Source organism: Homo sapiens, chromosome 3 (genome assembly GCF_000001405.40).
Source record: "Homo sapiens chromosome 3, GRCh38.p14 Primary Assembly".
Lineage (NCBI taxonomy): Eukaryota > Metazoa > Chordata > Mammalia > Primates > Hominidae > Homo > Homo sapiens.
In genome coordinates this window covers 119,205,494-119,223,410 of record NC_000003.12, presented here as the reverse complement: position 1 = coordinate 119,223,410, position 17,917 = coordinate 119,205,494, and the positions used below count along the sequence as shown (strand labels likewise).

Here is a 17,917-nt window from a genome sequence, read left to right as displayed (position 1 = left end):
AGTGACACAGAATGTTTCTCTGCAAATGAAACACTATATTCCCTCATTTGTGTGCACACTTACCTGTCAGCTTTCCCCAGGCCCTGCTGTTCATGGGTGCTCATATCTGTGGTGCTGACTGTGCTGGAGGCCATAAGACCAGTTTGAATAAGGCAGAGCACCTGCCCTCACAGGGCTCCCCGTTGAGTGTCAGTGTGGGGAGACAGGTAGCTACAGTGGAGTTGCGTTAATTTTGCATTTCTGCAAATACAACTATAAGCACTTGGTAAGGAGGGGAGAGAGGGACAAATGAAGAGAGGAAGAAGAAGGCAGGAGAGAAAGAACTGTGAAACTATCAAATAATGCTGGAGATTCCACCAGTATGTACTCTACGTGAGTGTGAAGTGGAAAGTGAGTCTCTTGATACCTCATTTGTTCTGGGCTTCTGTGTTGCTCTCTCACTTTGGGCAATTTAAGAGAATTCTTAAGTAACATTGATGTAGGTGACTGTTGCCTCAGGTACTGACTTTAAACCCCGGCTGTGTGTAAGCTGCAGGACATAAACACCTAGAACAAACTATGGTGGGTGAGAGCACAGTGTCTTTAAGAAACACCTTGAAGGGAAGGGTTTAAAGCTGTTCCCCAGGTAAGGTGGTACCTTAATCTTGTGGAACAACAAGAGCTTCTCAGCAGAGTTCCAAGACATGCCAGAGAGCACAGCGCAGTTTTGGGGAAAATGCAATAGTTCACTGGTATTCTAGAAGGAATGTCTGCGAGGAGAGGCAAGAACTGAGGCTAAGCAGGAGCCAGATTACGCAGGCCTTCTTTAGTCTGATATGGAGTTCGAAGTTGCTGTGGCAGGGGTTGGGGAGCTGTTGACACGTTACAGCTGGGGAAGGATGGGAGAAAGCTTGGTTCAGCTGATTTTGAATGTATCAGATGAAGCAAGGGAAGAGGGGAAAGCTGAGGGGAGAGACGCCACATGTCTGAGTTAGGGCGGGGGCTGTGGATCCAGAGGGCAAGGAGAGAATCCCATGATTTTTTTCTTTGGGGAAACTTGATCTTTGGATCTAATCTTATTATCTAGGGGTTTTGTTTTCTGGTTTCTTTGAGTCACTTCTGCATTGAGGAAAGCAGTGTATCATGGCTGGGCAACTTGGTTTTTTCAAAAGCATGTCACCATCTGTTCACTTACTCTGTAGTAAGATGTCACTATTTACAACACAGAACACCTGTACCTTAGACACTTACCATAGATGATAATCTTAAACTTCCCATTGCCCAGATTTTTTTAAACACCTGGTTGCACCATTCATTTCTAAGCAATCACAGAGGATTGCTTAAGGACAGGTTTTTTGCTGGGATTCTAGATTTTATCTTTCTATTAAGCTGAACCATAAGAAGGCTGAGCTCTTGGACATTCCTGCCAGGAACTGATTTTCACTCATGCTTTGGTGTCACAGTCATGGATTTCATCAGATGCCGCTCACTCTGAGAAACAGCATATGTATGACTCTTGCTGTTTCTAACTTGCCATTCTAACTGGCCAGATGTTTCTTTTATAACTAGGTATCAGAAAGCCTTTGTTGAGTAACTGACAGGTTTTCTTAATATGATTCAGGTAATTGAATGTGTTTCCCCTTTTGATCGAGAGGCTCTGAGCCAAATCCATGGCCCTCTTTTAGAAATTGAAAAGAATCTTATTTGCAGATCAGGGTTCTAATGTATTTCCCATCTTAATTTTCTATTCTGATTTAAATGTTTCTAGGGTCCTGGTTTATCATTTATGATTTTCTCTTTTTTGTATGTATCATGTAAGCAGCCTCATCTTTTGTGGCTGGAGAGAGGTATGTATAAGTAATGTAGGTAGGAGTTGCCTTCCTCCTGGACTACTTGATTTTGCTGCTTTGGGCAAAGTCCCTGTGGCAGGCAAGTTCATTTCCAGGCAGCTGAGTGTCTGCCCCGTGCTGGCAACTGTGTGCCCCAGTGCCACAGAGCTTAAGTCAGTACATGCCTCATCACTGTCACACCAGCCCCACAAGTACAAGCGCAAGAAAGGTTTTCACCTTACACACATGCAGAGGGAAGAAGTTAAAGTAAGTTGCCCCAAGTCTCTCAGACTCTGATGAAGCCAGAAACAAATCTTGTTTCTCACTGCCTATGGGATCAGTGATGAAGCTCTGGACCAGCCAGTGGCAAATTTTACTGGCAAGAACTCCTTTGGTACCAGCCTCCTTCCTACAAGGATTCTATTGTTATTTTATGACTACGTTTTCCCCACCCTTGGGCCTTACAGGGCTTTAAAAATAAATAAAAAGGTTCCAGGGCCAGTTAAATATTTATGCTTTTACAGGTAAGAAGAAAAGCCAAAAGCAAAGATCAATAAACACAGAGATAGTTGTCATCTGACAGGCACCTGAGAAACAGTTCCTTTTTTTTTTTTTTTGAGACAGAGTCTCACTCTGTTGCCCAGGCTGGAGTGCAGCGGTGCGATCTTGGCTCACTGGAACTTCCACCTCCCGGGTTCAAGGGATTCTCCTGACTCAGCCTCCTGAGTAGCTGGGACTACAGGCACGTGCCACCACGCCCAGCTAATTTTTTGTATTTTTAGTGGAGACGGGGTTTCGCAGTGTTAGCCAGGGTGGTCTCGATCTCCTGACCTCTTGATCCGTCCGCCTTGGCCTCCCAAAGTGCTGGGATTACAGGCGTGGAGAGACAATTCTTTAACCCTTCTTGCTGACTTGTCTTCTTCTGCCCCTCCCCACTCCAGCTCACCCCTCTCCAGGTGGTCGTCGGGCAGCCTGTGTCTTTCTCCCTCCTGTGCTTTGCCTCACAGAGTTGTGGTCACCAGGAGATCCCCCATTTTTCTGCCTATTTGAATCCTTCCAGGCCCCCTCCTCCTGATGTGGCGACACCTCTCTCCTCAGAACCCTGATAATGTTCACCTCTCTTATTAGGTTATAAACTCTGAGGGCGGGGCTCCCGCATTCCCGTGTTTAGCCAGCCGTCTTGCACATGGCGATATTGGTTTTGATAATCTACCACATCATTCCCTTGTTCTCATGCTGATTGCTTGTTGGTGTCAGCAGGTTATGCCTGCCTTATTACCGCATCCTGATCAGGCAGCTGGTGTTCAGGCAGCTAAGAATCCCTCCCCTCTATAAAATGCATTCTGATAACTATGGTAATGAGACACTGCTAGTAGATGTCTTGGTCAGTGATATTTACCTTCTAAGCACTTTATTTCCTTTTTTTTGTTTTATTATAGGCTGCAAAAATACAATTTCCCAGAATTTTAAGTTAGGGGCATATAAGTAAATCTGCTTCTCTTATGGGTTAAACAGAGTCCCCAGTCTTTTCTCAGAACGTAGAAAGAAACAACTGAACTACAGATTAGCTTTTGGGATGCCACTTGTTTGATGGCCAGTGTCTACATGTTTATTGATCACTCCTTTTGGTTTTTCTTTTTATCTAGAAAATCATAAATATTTTATCGGTCCTGGAACAGTTTGACCTGAAGTTAAAGTTAAAAATTCTCTAGATATTCACATCTTTTTATTTAGTAACATCCAAGTTTTTAAGCTACCTTAACTTGCATTTCTGAATTGTTCAAATGTTATATTTAAGGGATACCTTTATTTCTGAGATTTACAAATTTGTCCACTGATAATAAGAGTCCTATATAACTGGGAGGCTGGGAGGTGCTCTCTAACTTTTACCTCCTGATCTTTCTCCTCTTGCCTCTTTTTCTTTTCGGTATTCCTAGGGTTCCACAGAGCTGAGCCCCTTGGGTCTACCCTTTGTACTCTTCTCACCAACTAGATTGTTGGAGATTTCTCGACCTATGCCTTCAGGTACTACATGATAACAGCTTATTTCCAAAGCCATATCTGTAGTCGTTCCTCTCTTGTGAGCTTGGACCCTGTATCCTTTTGCCTACTGGCAAAGCCCCAGGTGTATCTAAAATTCAGCTTATCTAAAGCATGATTCACTGTCCTTCCTTTCAAAACCTAATTCTTGTTCTGTACAGCCTATTTTCATGAAAAGCACTACCTAGACTCTGTCTGGTTGGCAGGCCAGAAACTTCAGAGGGTGTTGACATGTGTTGGGTTATCCAGGAAACAGACTCTGAGCTGGAGATGCATGTTGAGAAGTGGAGATTTGCATACAGAGTGTGTGCGGGAGCTGTCTCCTGCCTTCAACCCTCCCCTGCAAAAGTGAAAGTGAAAAAAAAGAAAGGTATATTCATCATGACACGCATTCGTGCTGAACCCGGATGCAGCCTCAGAATCCTTCTTAACCCAGTGCCCTTGGCAACTGTTACCATTCCTTGGATTGGCACATGAGATGAAATCTTATCAATATCTGATGGTGTGGTTCACATTGACAGGTATCTCTATAGGCCTCTACACACAAACATCACCATTAACAGCTGGGTGGCACTTTGCTCAGTGAGCAGAGGTGAGCGTTTGTCTAGATAGAGGAAAGAAGACAAGACAGGGAAGGCCAGGAGCATTGGGAGGTGGGTGTCAAGCAGGAGAAGCAGGAGTGGGTGGGTGGAAGTACATGGTCTCCCAGGTGTTCCTAGAACGCCAGCCCTGAAATCAGAGACCTTTGGTGCGAATATTCTTACCATTTCTCTCATCTCTTTTGCTCCAGGTTACGTTACAGTGGATATTTTGGGGGTGTTACTGCCCTAAGCAGAGAGCAGTTTTTCAAGGTGAATGGATTCTCTAACAACTACTGGGGATGGGGAGGCGAAGACGATGACCTCAGACTCAGGTGAACAACAGAGAAAGGTCCCCTTCACGGGGCTCTGCACTCAGTGTGGCTCTGGAGACCTGCATTTATATTTATTCCTTTAGATGCCAGTCCAGCAGGTCACTAGGCTGCAGATTTGGGCTTGAAGGGTGCAGGGGGTGGAGGGAAGGTAGGATGGCCCACATCATTCTGTGCCAGTAGCAGTTTACTTCTGGCCTGGGGGCATTTGGGGTCCAGAAGTGTTGGTGGAGGCCTCATGTACTTGTCGGGAAAGACTTACTGAGACACCAGTGAGTGAGAAACCCCAAACTGCAAGGTGTCTGCTGAACTGCAATTTGGAGACCGGGTTGTTAAGAGCCTCATGCTTTCTGTCAGACCCCTTGGGGACACAGTTCCCAGTGTCCCCCTGCAGGGAGTGCCAGCAGCCTCTGGGGAGCTGCACATGTTGAAGCAGGCAAAGAGGTCCTCTCCTCAAGCGTTAGGCAGCCCTGGCAGCCCTGCACGCTGTGGAGACTGCAGGTGGCCTGACCCCAGGCCTGACTCTGGGCTGTTGACATTACCCTGGGTTCTCTTGGACTGCTTTCTGCTCTGAGGGGCTCAAAGGGAATAAGTCTGGCCTCCACCCACAGCTTCTTCCCCTCAACTTGGATTTGGGGGCCAGATAGTTATAGTTATCCCTGCCTCCCAGAAATAAGTAATTATTCAAGAGCTTAGGCTGGTATCTTTAGACTTGTAATCACAAGGCCATTCTGGGTGTCAGGAGGCCCCCTTCCCTCCTGCTTGTTGCCTCTTGGAAAAGAAATTCTTTTTTTTTTTTTTTTTTTTTTTGAGACAAAGTCTCGCTCTGTCACCCAGGCTGGAGTGCAGTGACGTGATCTCGACTCACCGCAACCTCTGCCTCCCGGGTTTGAGTGATTCTCCAGCCTCAGCCTCCCGAGTAGCTGGGACTACAGGCGTGTGCCGCCGTGTCTGGCTAATTTTTTTGTATTTTTAGTAAAGGCCAGGTTTCACCATATTGGCCAGGCTGATCTCGAACTCCTGACCTCAGGTGATCTGTCTGCCTTGGCCTCCCAAAGTGTTGGGATTACAGGTGTGAGCCACTGTGCCTGGCTGGAAAGGAAATTTCTAACCTGGGGCTCTGAATTATTAGTTACGTGACTGTCAGAAATTTTTTTGTTGCCTCATCATAAAGAACCCAGGGGCTCCATGCTGCTCTTGTTCCCATGTCTAGGCTGAGAGCCTCTGGAATGTTTCTAGCAGGAGGGAGTGGATTCCCCTGACCAGGGGCTCTACAGAAATGGCCGTAGTGATGGGCAACAGCTCTTCACAGCCCAGCCCATCAGCAGCCTATGTGGTCATGGCTTAGGAACTGGACAGAGGGTACGTGCTACATTTCAGGACAAGAGTAGCAAAGGCTAGTGATAAACAATCCCCATTATCTTCCCTAAATGTACTTCACTGGGGTGATTAGTAGAATTTTGCCCTGATCACATATCTTCAGTGTCTTCTTTCCTGCTATGCTTCAGCTTCAAAGTAGAGGGGAGCCTCCAATTTTGCTTTCATTTGAAAAGACCATCATGGCCTTCAGAATGGTTTTTGACTAATGTGGTAGATAAACTAAGATGATTTGAATATGAAAGTTGGTTGAGATTTACTGCTTATTTATTCGCCTGTGCAACAGGCACTACCCTTCTTTGTACTTATATAATACATATAATACATTGCAGAGTACAAGCATGTTCCATGCAGATTATATCATTTGAATATTTGAAATCAACTCCCTATCACCATTGCCATTTTACAGATGAGGGAACTGAGACCTGGAACTGTGAACTGACTTACTGAGGTTGTAAATAACAGAGTCCAGATTTGAACCTAGAATTGTAGCTTTAAAACTTGTGACCATAAATGGCCATTCCTTTCTTTGTTAAAAGAAGGCAACTCTAAGTAAATTGGGGATCCTAACAGACTTGATTCTCCTATTCTTCAGGATGTTTTGAAATAAGTACTTTATCATTTTTTTTTCTTTTTGAAAATGACTAAGTATAAACTAACACATCTCCTTTGTACCCCAGTAATAAATGCTGAATCTCATTCTTTTTTGGGCTTATCGCCTGAAGTTCCACCATTATAAGAAATTGGAAATTTTAGAAGTTTTTCTTTTTTTAATACTCCAATAATCAAGCTGTTTGTGACACTGTGTGTGTGTGTGTGTGTGTGTGTGTATGTGCGTGTGTGTGTATAAATTTTCGCAAATGATGCTTTTTATTTGCCTAGTGGTAGATAAATAGGATGGACTTTAAAAAAATCTCTATTATTTTTCTAGGGTTGAGCTCCAAAGAATGAAAATTTCCCGGCCCCTGCCTGAAGTGGGTAAATATACAATGGTCTTCCACACTAGAGACAAAGGCAATGAGGTGAACGCAGAACGGTAAGTCCTGGCTTCACCTGCCTAGCAGGCTACCTCCCTAGTCTGTTCTGTCAATAAGGACTATGTTGAATTCGATCAGATTTGAGCCAGTTCATTGTGTTAAAAGATTTTTATTAAGCAAATTTTCAAACAGACACAAAAGGAGAGAAAGTGGTGCACTGAACCCTCACGTCTACAGTTCTCAACTCATGGCCTCTCTTCTTTCCCTCAGTTTTTTTCTTACCCCACTGGATTTAGAAATGTGTCACAGATGTCATAGCATTTCATGTGTAACTGCTTCAGTATGTATTCTTAAAATATAAGCAATTTTAAAAAAGGAATCAGAATACCATTATCATACCTAGAATAAAATTAACAATATCTCCTTAATGTCATCAAATGTCTAGTCAGTGTTAAGTACTTTTTTATTTTTAAAACCAGTTGATCAGATCAGTGTCTAAACAAGGTCCACATTGCATTTGAATGATCTCTTTTAATATGTAGGTTCCCTCTCCCTTTCTTTATGTGTTCCTTGATATTTATTTGTGGAACAAGCCAGATTATTTGTCCAATAGAATTCCTTGCATTATGGATTTTTCCAATTGCATCCTGGTAGTATAACTTAATATGTCCTCCTGACCTCTATTTTCTCATAAACTGGTTGTATTAGTCAGGGTTCTCTAGAGGGACAGAACGAACAGGATAGATGTATATATGAAGGGGAGTTTATTAAGGAGTATTGACTCACACTATCCCAAGATGAAGTCCACAATAGGCCGCCTGCAAGCTGAGGAACGAGGAAGCCAGCCCGGGTCCCAAAACCTCAAAAGTAGGGAAGCCAACAGGGCAGCCTTCAGTCTGTGGCCAAAGGCCCGAGAGTCCCTGGCAAACCACTGGTGTAGGTCCAAGAGTCCAGAAGCTGAAGAACTTGGAGTCTGATGTTCAGGGTCAGGAAGCCCAGGAGAAAGATGAAGGCCAGAAGACTCAGCAAGTTGGCTTCTCCCTTCTTCTGCCTGCTTTATTTTAGCCTCGCTAGCAGTTGATTAGATGGTGCCCACCCACATGGAGGGTAGATCTGCCCCTCCCAGTCCACTGACTCAAATGTTAATTTCCTTTGGCAACACCCTCACAGACACACCCAGGAACAATACTTCACATCCTTCAATCCAATCAAGTTGACACTCAGTATTAACCATCACACTGGGATTTCTCTGCATTTCTGGAGACTTGAACAGAATCTTATTTTTGGGCAAGAATTTTCATTTATGGTGTTGTGTACTTCCTCCAGTGTCACAACAGGAGGATGTAATGTCTGGTTGTGTCATTTTGTGATGTTAGGATTGATCTGTGAGTTTCGATATTGCCAGTCTAATCTATGCATTGTGAGATTCCTCATCAGTTTTTTACCTAATGACTTCAGCAGTCATTGATGCTTGATTTCTAAATTTATTATTTAATTAGGAGTTGCAAAATTGTAATATTCTAATTCTATTGTTCCTTCTGCATTTATTAGATTTTTCTACAAAGTACTTTCCCTTTTCATGTATTTGGGTACTCTGGGGTATAGTTTTTATAGGAAAGGCAGAATAAAGAGAAAAGAGTCAAGCACTGATTAAAAATTTTTCAGACTAATGACTTGGTGTTTCCTAGCATCCTTCAGGATGTAGTTCTTGTACTTTTTGGTACTCATATTGTCTCATCTTTGGCCAATGGGATCTTCTTCAAGCTGGGTCCTGAATCCCAGTAGTCCTCGAGAGCTTCCCTCCCTGTGCTCTGCTGTGATGAAATGTTCTAGGCTCTTCTTGTACTTTTCCTGCCTTGGGAATTGGCCTATTCACAAGGAATCCTGGCAGATAAGCCAGTTCTTATGAGGCTTTGATTGAAGAATCTGTATTTCTTTGTTCTGATTTTTCCCCTTAAATTTTCAAACAGTCTTAAGGGGTTTTTAGTGCTTTTGTTATAGTCTACATTTTAAAACAATATTAAAGTGCTTTTAGCCTGATATTAAACAGTCCTGTTAAAGTTCATTTATTTTTTTCTGAGGCAGGGTCTCGCTCCCAAGCTGGAGTGCAGTGGCGTGACCATGGCTCACTACAGCCTCGATCTCTCAGGCTCAAGCAATCCTCCAAGCTCAGCCTCCCAAGTAGCTGGGACCACAGGCATGTGTCACCATGCTTGGCTAATTTTTTTTTATTTTTTGTAAAGACAGGGTCTTCCTGTGTTGCCAAAGGCTGGTCTTAAACTCCTGGGCTCAAGCAGTCCTCCTGCCTCAGCCTCCCAAAGTTCTAGGATTACAGCATGAGCTACCATGCCTGGCCTAAAGTTTATATTTTAAAGCATTATTAAATGGCTTTTCACCCTTTTGGTAGAGTCAACCACTCCAACAAAATAGCTATTTCTATTTTCTATGTTTTTCTAGTCATTGTCCATAGGTATGCATTTTTCTCTTTATGTTAAAAAAATTAATTATTGAGTAGATACAAAAGAGTATTCCTAAATTGTATGAAAAGTATGAAGATTCTTGATGCCATGAACACTGCTGATATCTCCTACCCCCACTTTGAGTGCATGACCTGTGTGGTCCTCCCTAATTCTGTAGTCTCCTCCTTCACATCTCCCCTATCCACCTACCCAAGTAACACTTCTCTGAATTTTTGTGATAAGTATTTGTGATAATGATAGTTATTTCTGCTGTTTCTTGGTTTTCTTGTTTTCCCATATGTTTGTATCCCTAAACAAAAGATTGCTTAGTTCTGCATGTTTTTCAACTTTATGTAAATGAAATCACACTGCATTTATTCTTCTCTGACTTTATTTAGCTGAACATTATGCATCTGATCCCCATCCATATTGTCATGGGTAACTAGCATTTATTGTCTTCACTGCTGAACAAGTAGAACCTATTCAGTTCACTGCCCACTTGTCTTCCCAGATTCCATGGTTCTGGCCACACTAGTGACTTCTTTAAATGCATCCTGCTCTTTTGCGTCTGTGCATCTTGCCCAGGGTGGTCTCTCTGCCTGGAGTGCTTTTTCCTTCACCTTCTTCACTTGGTGGATTTCTCTCTTTCAGCGTTACTGAAATTTTCCTTCTCCCTGACACCTCACCCGACTTCCTCATGAAGTTAGGTCTCCCTTCATTCATCCTCATCTACATACATTCTAATTTTTTTGGAGGCTCGTGAAAGCTATGTACCCACCTACAGACAAACTTTCCTTATAACATAGGAAGATTCAGAGATCCCCTGAAGCTCAGCCAAGGATCAGTTAGCAATGGTTGGTACATATCCTGTAGTATCTGTATTCCTTGCACATCCTTCTGTCCTGTAGACTGGGGGCTCACTGAGTGCAGTGACACTTTTCATCATGGGTCCCCGGGTTCTCACGTGGAGTCTGACACATGAATACATGGCTATCATGTCTGTCACCTTCAATGGGGCAAACAAACTTTGTAATGGTAGGAAACACAACAGGTACAATAATTTACAAAAATATGTTTGCCACATTTCAGGGCAAGGCAAAATGCAGTGGAGACATATGTTAAATTCTTATCATTCACATTTGTTCTTTTTATCTTTAGGATGAAGCTCTTACACCAAGTGTCACGAGTCTGGAGAACAGATGGGTTGAGTAGTTGTTCTTATAAATTAGTATCTGTGGAACACAATCCTTTATATATCAACATCACAGTGGATTTCTGGTTTGGTGCATGACCCTGGGTCTTTTGGTGATGTTTGGAAGAACTGATTCTTTGTTTGCAATAATTTTGGCCTAGAGACTTCAAATAGTAGCACACATTAAGAACCTGTTACAGCTCATTGTTGAGCTGAATTTTTCCTTTTTGTATTTTCTTAGCAGAGCTCCTGGTGATGTAGAGTATAAAACAGTTGTAACAAGACAGCTTTCTTAGTCATTTTGATCATGAGGGTTAAATATTGTAATATGGATACTTGAAGGACTTTATATAAAAGGATGACTCAAAGGATAAAATGAACGCTATTTGAGGACTCTGGTTGAAGGAGATTTATTTAAATTTGAAGTAATATATTATGGGATAAAAGGCCACAGGAAATAAGACTGCTGAATGTCTGAGAGAACCAGAGTTGTTCTCGTCCAAGGTAGAAAGGTACGAAGATACAATACTGTTATTCATTTATCCTGTACAATCATCTGTGAAGTGGTGGTGTCAGGTGAGAAGGCGTCCACAAAAGAGGGGAGAAAAGGCGACGAATCAGGACACAGTGAACTTGGGAATGAAGAGGTAGCAGGAGGGTGGAGTGTCGGCTGCAAAGGCAGCAGTAGCTGAGCTGGTTGCAGCTGCTGATAGCCTTCAGGGGAGGACCTGCCCAGGTATGCCTTCCAGTGATGCCCACCAGAGAATACATTCTCTATTAGTTTTTAAAGAGTTTTTGTAAAATGATTTTGTACAAGTAGGATATGAATTAGCAGTTTACAAGTTTACATATTAACTAATAATAAATATGTCTATCAAATACCTCTGTAGTAAAATGTGAAAAAGCTTTGAGTGTTCCTTCGTGTTTTTTATTGTTCTTTGAGGCCTACAGATATGTTCATTTCAGTATCCATAATTCTAAAGAGCTTAAAAACAGAACAAATGAAACAAAGCCCTCCACTACTTCTGTCTCCCGTCCTTCTGTCCCTCTCTTGTTTGTCTCATTTGTGACCTCCTTGTGGAACCAGCTCCAATCTTACGATAGGCCCGTCCATGTCTCACTCCCTGGGCCTCTCCGTGAATGCATTATGCTTATCATGCAAGCCCTAGGGGTTCTCAATCCATCATTATTGTATGACACCTCAACAGTTAAACTTTAACAAGAATGAGTGCCAGCCAGGAAGTTTAAATAATATCTAATCCTTCCCAAGCAGGGAGAGAGGGAGTAGGAAGTTTGGTGCTCCTAAGATAAAACAGGAGTTGTCACCACCCAAGTGGGGAAGGAGAATTTGAAAGGACAATACACTTCATAGGCATGAAACGTTTACCTAGGGCTAGCTTGGTTTAGCTTTTAACTCAGCACAGGGAGCAAAAGAGCAAAAGTGGTTATTTTTCTTTTCCTTTTTTTTTTTTTTTTTCTTTTTGCGACAGGGTCTTGCTCTATCACCCAGGCTGGAGTGCGGAGGTGCAGTCTCGGCTAACTGCAGCCTCCACCCCCCAGGCTCAAGTGACAATCCTCCCCCCGTCAGCCTCCTGAATAGCTGGGACCACAGGCGCACACCACCATTCCCAGCTATTTTTTTGTATTTTTAGTAGAGATGGGGTCTCACCATGTTGCCCAGGCTGGTCTTGAACTCTAGAGCTCAAAATCAATCTGCCTGCCTGGGGTGCCCAAAGCGCTGGAATTATAGGTGTGAGCCACAGTGCCCGGCCATGTTTTTTTCTTTACTTAGCAGAGAAATACTCAGGGTTTTCATGTTTTTTGCTCAAACTTTGTAAAGGAGCTTCATTCTTGGGAGATTTGCTAATGAGGCTGTAGTCTGTTGAGTAAATCTCTCCCTCACTGTCCCTTCTCTTTTCTGTAGAAACTTTGTCTAGAGCTCTCTCCCAATTTGCTTGACTATGACCATATTAACAGACGGTAATTGAGAGGTTGTAGGTCCCTCCCTCATCATGGTTGGGAAGGGCAATGGAAGAGAATGGTGTGTGCAAGGAATTTGAAGATCTGTATTTGAGAACTCAATTTCTTACTCAATGGAAATGGAGTATAGCTAGTACCATGCAGAAACTCTCTTGTGTTTTTTTGACATCTGCAATTTTTTAACTGTTGGAAACCACTGAATGATGCCTTTTATTTTTCTTCAGGTAATTCTTTCAACCAAGATAATCTAAAAGTCCCTTAAATGACTTGTTATGGAACTTCTTGAGGTGGAAGATAGTTTTTTAAGACCTTGACACTGCCATTGTGACACTTTCCCTGCACTGGGGCATCAAAGGCTGGTGACACGGGGCATGAGGCCGCCTGCCCACTCACTGCTGCCTCCCTCCCTGCTCTTGCCTCCCCACTGGGCAGGGGGTTTGGCTTCAAAGGAACTGGCTTCCTCCAGTTCCTGCCCTGTGCATTTTCTCATAGTTGCCAAAGAGGCCTACTGTTTTAAATATTGTAGAGACAGCTATGCCTACTATAATTGCTAAGGATTATGTGGGGGCAGGCTATTTGGATATCACAACTACCTAACACAAAGAGTGTGTTACTTTGAAGTTTTCATTGATTTTTTTTCCTCACCTATACTGGCATTCATTTCTATAGTGCTTTGCAGTTTGTGATATCTTTACACACACTTTATTGGTGCCGCTTACTCTTTTTTTTTTTTTTTTTTTTTTTGAGACAGAGTCTCACTCTGTCACCCAGGCTGGAGTGCAGTGGCACAATCTCGGCTCACTGCAACCTCCACCTCCTGGGTTCAAGTGATTCTCCTGCCTCAGCCTCCCAAGTAGCTGGGACTACAAGCATGCCTCACCATGCCCGGCTAATTTTTGTGTTTTTAGTAGAGACGGAGTTTCACCATATTGGCCAGGCTGGTCTTGAATTCCTGACCTCAGGTGATCCGCCTGCCTCTTCCTCCCAAAGTACTGGGACTACAGGCGTGAGCCAATGTGCCTGGCCGATGCTTCTGACTCTTGAGGTAAGAGGGCAGTTGAGTAAGTTGAGTAAGTAGAGGTCTCAGCCAGGAGGGTGCCTTGCCAGGAGTCTCACAGGCAGCAAATGGCAGATTCTGAGCAAAACTCGGGCCCTTTGACTTTCAAGACCATTACATCATATTGCCTTCTTCTTGGCTTCTCTACTTCTTTGTGGTAATTTTCCTGAATGTGTGTCATTGTCTTAATTCCTACAGAGAGTTAGTATTGTCTGGACCCTGGAAAGTGCATTCCTGTTCTCAGCTGCTCTCAGAACTTTGTCCCCAACTCCATCTGTAATTTTTCTGCCCTTACCCCCATCACTTCCACTCAAGCCCCAATGGATAGATTTCCTGGGAGCCCCAAAATGCTCTGTGAATGGACTTGAGTGAGATAAAAGACATTTTCTCCCAGACTTGAAATTCACTTTCCCCAATCCTATTCATATATGCAGTCCCTACCAAAAACCATTAACATGTTCTGCAAGATGAAGCATATTCAGGTACATTTCATAAGTTCTTTTTCACCAATCACATTCTATAACTTAAAAAAAAAACCCTCTATCCTTAGTGCCTTCGATATTTTATGCTATTTCTACCTTCGTTGATTTTTTTGTATATGCATAACCATCTTATACCTGCTGAGAGGGCCTGATCATTCTAAAAGTATACACAAGGGAGTGGTTTAGAGGTTCCACCCCTAGGAAGTACACCTGTACAGGTAAAGCCTCCATTGTTCCATTGATAATTGTTAAGATTTAAATAAAATTATCAAACCTTGTGTGCCCATGTGTGGAGTGTGAGTGTGTGTGTGTGTGTGTGTGTGTGTGAGAGAGAGAGAGAGAGAATGAGAGAGAGATGTGGGGGCTTGGAGCAGAGGTTGGTGAAGGGTGGGACATAATAATAAACTAAGTGCTTGCTCTGTATCAGTTTCCTTGATATAACCTCCTGATTGGCATCTCTTATAGACCGATGCACACTGTACGTATCTTACTGAATCCTCCCAGTCCTGTGTGAGGAGAGACCAGTTTTTCTGAAGCAGGCTCCAAGAAGCTAAGTGACTTGTCAAAGAGCTGGGATTTGGAGCCAAGTACTTTGACTCCAGAGTTCATGTTCTTAACCACTTCATGGTGATGGATAAATAAATACACCTACACCAGGAAGGAATAAATACATCCTATTTCCTAGAGGAAATAAGGATTGGAAGACTAACTTGGAGAGTGTCAATGCTCTTCAGCCAAAACCCCCCAGGAACACATTGCAGATAAATTAATTGGGTTAGAGTTGATCAAAGGGTACAAAATTTCAGTTGGAGGAATAAATTCAAGAGCTCTATTTTGAAAAAAATTGGGATTGTGACTAGTTGCAATCGTTGCAGTGAGTGAGAACACACCATGGGGGATCCATGAAGCAACTCAGTAGAAGGAAGTTAGAATTATTACAGCATTTGGGCTTTGGTTGGGTCATTTGGGGAGGGTCCAAGAAAGGGTTTGCTCTGTTGGATATTATCAGAAAGCAGGGGCAAGTCCATGGTTGTTTATTTCAATAAGTTTTATTTGTAGGGAGGGAGACTAGCAAGAGAATAAAGCTGTAATTGGGAAGACATAGCAGTCACTAATTTTAGCCAAGAAAGCAGGTGTTTGGTTTTTTGTGGGTGGCACAGTGACCTTGTTTTTGTCTATGCATAGACAAAATTATGCAGTGGCCTTGGCTTGCCTCGTTTTGTCATGGTCTCAGAGTGACCCTATGAGGCTGGTATTCTGTGAGATTGTTTATGTCTAACAGGAGAATAGTTGAGCCTAGTTGTGAGTGCCTCACCAGCATCTGTTGCTCTGTAGTTCTTTTTCAAGAGGAACTCAGGGTAGAAACCACTAGAAAGTAGGGCATGACAGTACCATTTCTCCAAACTCCAGGATTTGACTATTTGTGTCTTAACAATGTGGAGTGGGGGCGTGTGCTGGGGGAAGGGTTGGTTGGAGAAGTGTATGGGATCTCTGTTTCTCGGCAAGGCTGCCTTTCTCTACAATGTTTCTGGATCCCTTTACGGGATCTGGCCACTTGAGCCTTATAATACAATAGCAAACTCAGTAGTCTATAGCTACCCTTCTTTGGGGTTCTTCTTTGATTCAGTCTCACTTATACAGGCTGAGAAGGATCTGGAAGAGACACTAGAGGAAATACTAGACCCAGAAGGAGAAAGGAAATTGTTCCATCAATAGAAATGAGAAACCAGCTTAGTTTCTAATTCCTCAACCACAACACAGGTTGTCAGATTGGTTGGGGTGGGGGTGTGAGATTGAGAGGAGGTTAGATTTTCAAGTTCACATGACTAGTATTCCTTTTATGGGTAGCCAGAAAATATCTGATCTTCTGTTTAAAATAGAAGCAGTTCCTGTTTATTCCAGCTGATGTAGAGAAAGAAAAGCTACAAGGCTGACAAGTAGGAGCAATGGGCTTTTAAAAATTAAATGACAGACTGTTTGCCTGCCAGGAGCCTGTGGAGCAATCTAGGGATGGAAATGGCCAGCCAAGAGAGCATGATGACCCGCCTGGCGTTGCAATCAAGTAAAACTTACCCAAATTAGCCTGACACATTTTTGGTGTTAGTAATTATTCTTTGCCCACCTGATAAGCAGGTGTTGAAGAGGGAAGTTTCACAAGATAGTTGTGTCTGGGCCTGTCTCACACTCAGCAAGCTGCCAGATCCCTAGAGCCAAGCCGCCTGGTTCCCCTTTGCCTCCCTGGTTTGCTGGGGCTGGGGCTGGGGCTGAGCCTGGGCCTGCCTGAGCATTGGCTTGGGGCCACTTCCAGTCCCTGGAGCCAGAAGGAAGAGGGGCAAGGCTGGGCCTCCAGGGAAGGTGGAGGGACATGGGAGCAGGAACTGGGCAGAATAGAAACTGTCCTGAGGTTAAAACAGGAGAGCCCTGTAGAGGGAAGCACAGGAGTCCTGAATGGCCAGACTCTCTGCAGGGTGATCCTCAGACCTCGTTTCTGTCTTAGCTGAAAGGTGTGTCCTCCTCAAGTGTTGGAGCCCCAGGACATAGTGGGTGCCTGTGTTTAGGACCTTATTTGGTTTTGGAAGGAGCAGAGCCTGCCCCCATTTATAGTGGACTTTGCACCTTCTATAAAGGAGGCTGAGGCTGCAGGAAGGAAACTAGCTGGAGAGGGGGCAGGGGGCAGTGGCTCACTGACGGCCCCTTCTCTTTTAGTTATTGCTTGGTAAGGAAGTCAGGGGATAAGATTTAAGGAATAGTAGGTGGGCCATCTTGTCCCGCAATGGCTCTTTCATGCTCCCACTGCTGTGCTGGATTCCACCAACTAGAGATCAACCTCAGTTATCAAGAAAACGTCATAGAGATTGAGAGAGTGGAGTTGAGTTGTCACCCACTCCTTAGTATGAATTGGTTTCCAAAAAGGCCTTCCCCTAACCTAGCCGAGATCTAATCATAAGAAGGGAATTTTGCTACTTGGGTGGCTGAGGCAGGAGAATCGCTTGAACCTGGGAGGTGGAGGTTGCAGTGAGCCGAGATCGTGCCATTGCACTCCAGCCTGGGCAACAAGAGTTAAACTCTGTCTCAAAAAAAAAAAAAAAAAGGGGGGGGGGGAGGGAGGCGGGGAATTTTGTATGTAGAGAGAATTTTGGAGCATGAAGCCCTGGAAGGGAAGTAGGAGTGGGTTTGGGGCAGGAATTGCTCAGGCAGTCGGGAGGTGAGGGCACTGGAAAGCCCAGTGAGTGGTGGAGGCAAAAGGCACCAGAACACACAGGAGAGAGTGTGCGGAGGAAAATGAGAGCACGGCTGTTTCAAAGCTTTGCCCAGAGGAAGCTCCTTCCCTGTCCTCCTGTCTTCTAAAGGACCACAGAGAGAACCTTCTCAGCCAAGCACAGGTGTCATTTATCTCGATATCCCATGATCTTCATTCAGGAGAGACAAGGCAGGCCAAGGAGAGGTGAACTGGCTGTGCTGTCAGGACATGGACATTTGGTTCCCTCTCCTGGGAATCAGGGATCGGGCTCCTGCGCCAGCTTTACAACCAAGGCAAGTCCCCTCCAATCCTCCTTGTCTTTCCCCTACCCCCACGCTCAGCCTCACTCACAGGTACCCGGTGGGGGCATGGGATGGGGGTGCTGCCTGCGTCT

At 43.9% G+C, this 17,917-nt stretch overlaps 1 protein-coding gene across 19 annotated transcripts in view, besides 2 other annotated features; it reads left to right on the top strand.

Annotated features, from left to right (window-relative positions):
* Positions 1 to 11,669, top strand: part of B4GALT4 (beta-1,4-galactosyltransferase 4) — a 29,137-nt gene extending 17,468 nt beyond the window's left edge. For 16 of the 19 annotated variants that reach the window (NM_003778.4, NM_212543.2, XM_011513260.1 and 13 more), the window contains 3 exons: positions 4,639 to 4,761; positions 7,067 to 7,171; positions 10,730 to 11,669. In NM_003778.4, coding sequence (NP_003769.1) covers positions 4,639 to 4,761; positions 7,067 to 7,171; positions 10,730 to 10,862 — 361 coding nt within the window. In that variant the 3' untranslated portion in view covers positions 10,863 to 11,669. Of the gene's footprint in view, positions 1 to 4,638; positions 4,762 to 7,066; positions 7,172 to 10,729 lie in introns of those variants that run through there. The other 3 variants (XM_047449125.1, XM_047449127.1, XM_047449126.1) reach the window with 1 other exon arrangement.
* Positions 16,013 to 16,537: an enhancer, noted in NCBI's record as "H3K27ac-H3K4me1 hESC enhancer chr3:118925721-118926245 (GRCh37/hg19 assembly coordinates)". NCBI's record gives its function as "activates a minimal SCP1, AML or CMV promoter by ChIP-STARR-seq in primed H9 embryonic stem cells {active_cell/tissue: H9 hESC(primed)}" and the evidence as "EXISTENCE:reporter gene assay evidence [ECO:0000049][PMID:30033119]".
* Positions 16,538 to 17,064: an enhancer, noted in NCBI's record as "H3K27ac-H3K4me1 hESC enhancer chr3:118925194-118925720 (GRCh37/hg19 assembly coordinates)". NCBI's record gives its function as "activates a minimal SCP1, AML or CMV promoter by ChIP-STARR-seq in primed H9 embryonic stem cells {active_cell/tissue: H9 hESC(primed)}" and the evidence as "EXISTENCE:reporter gene assay evidence [ECO:0000049][PMID:30033119]".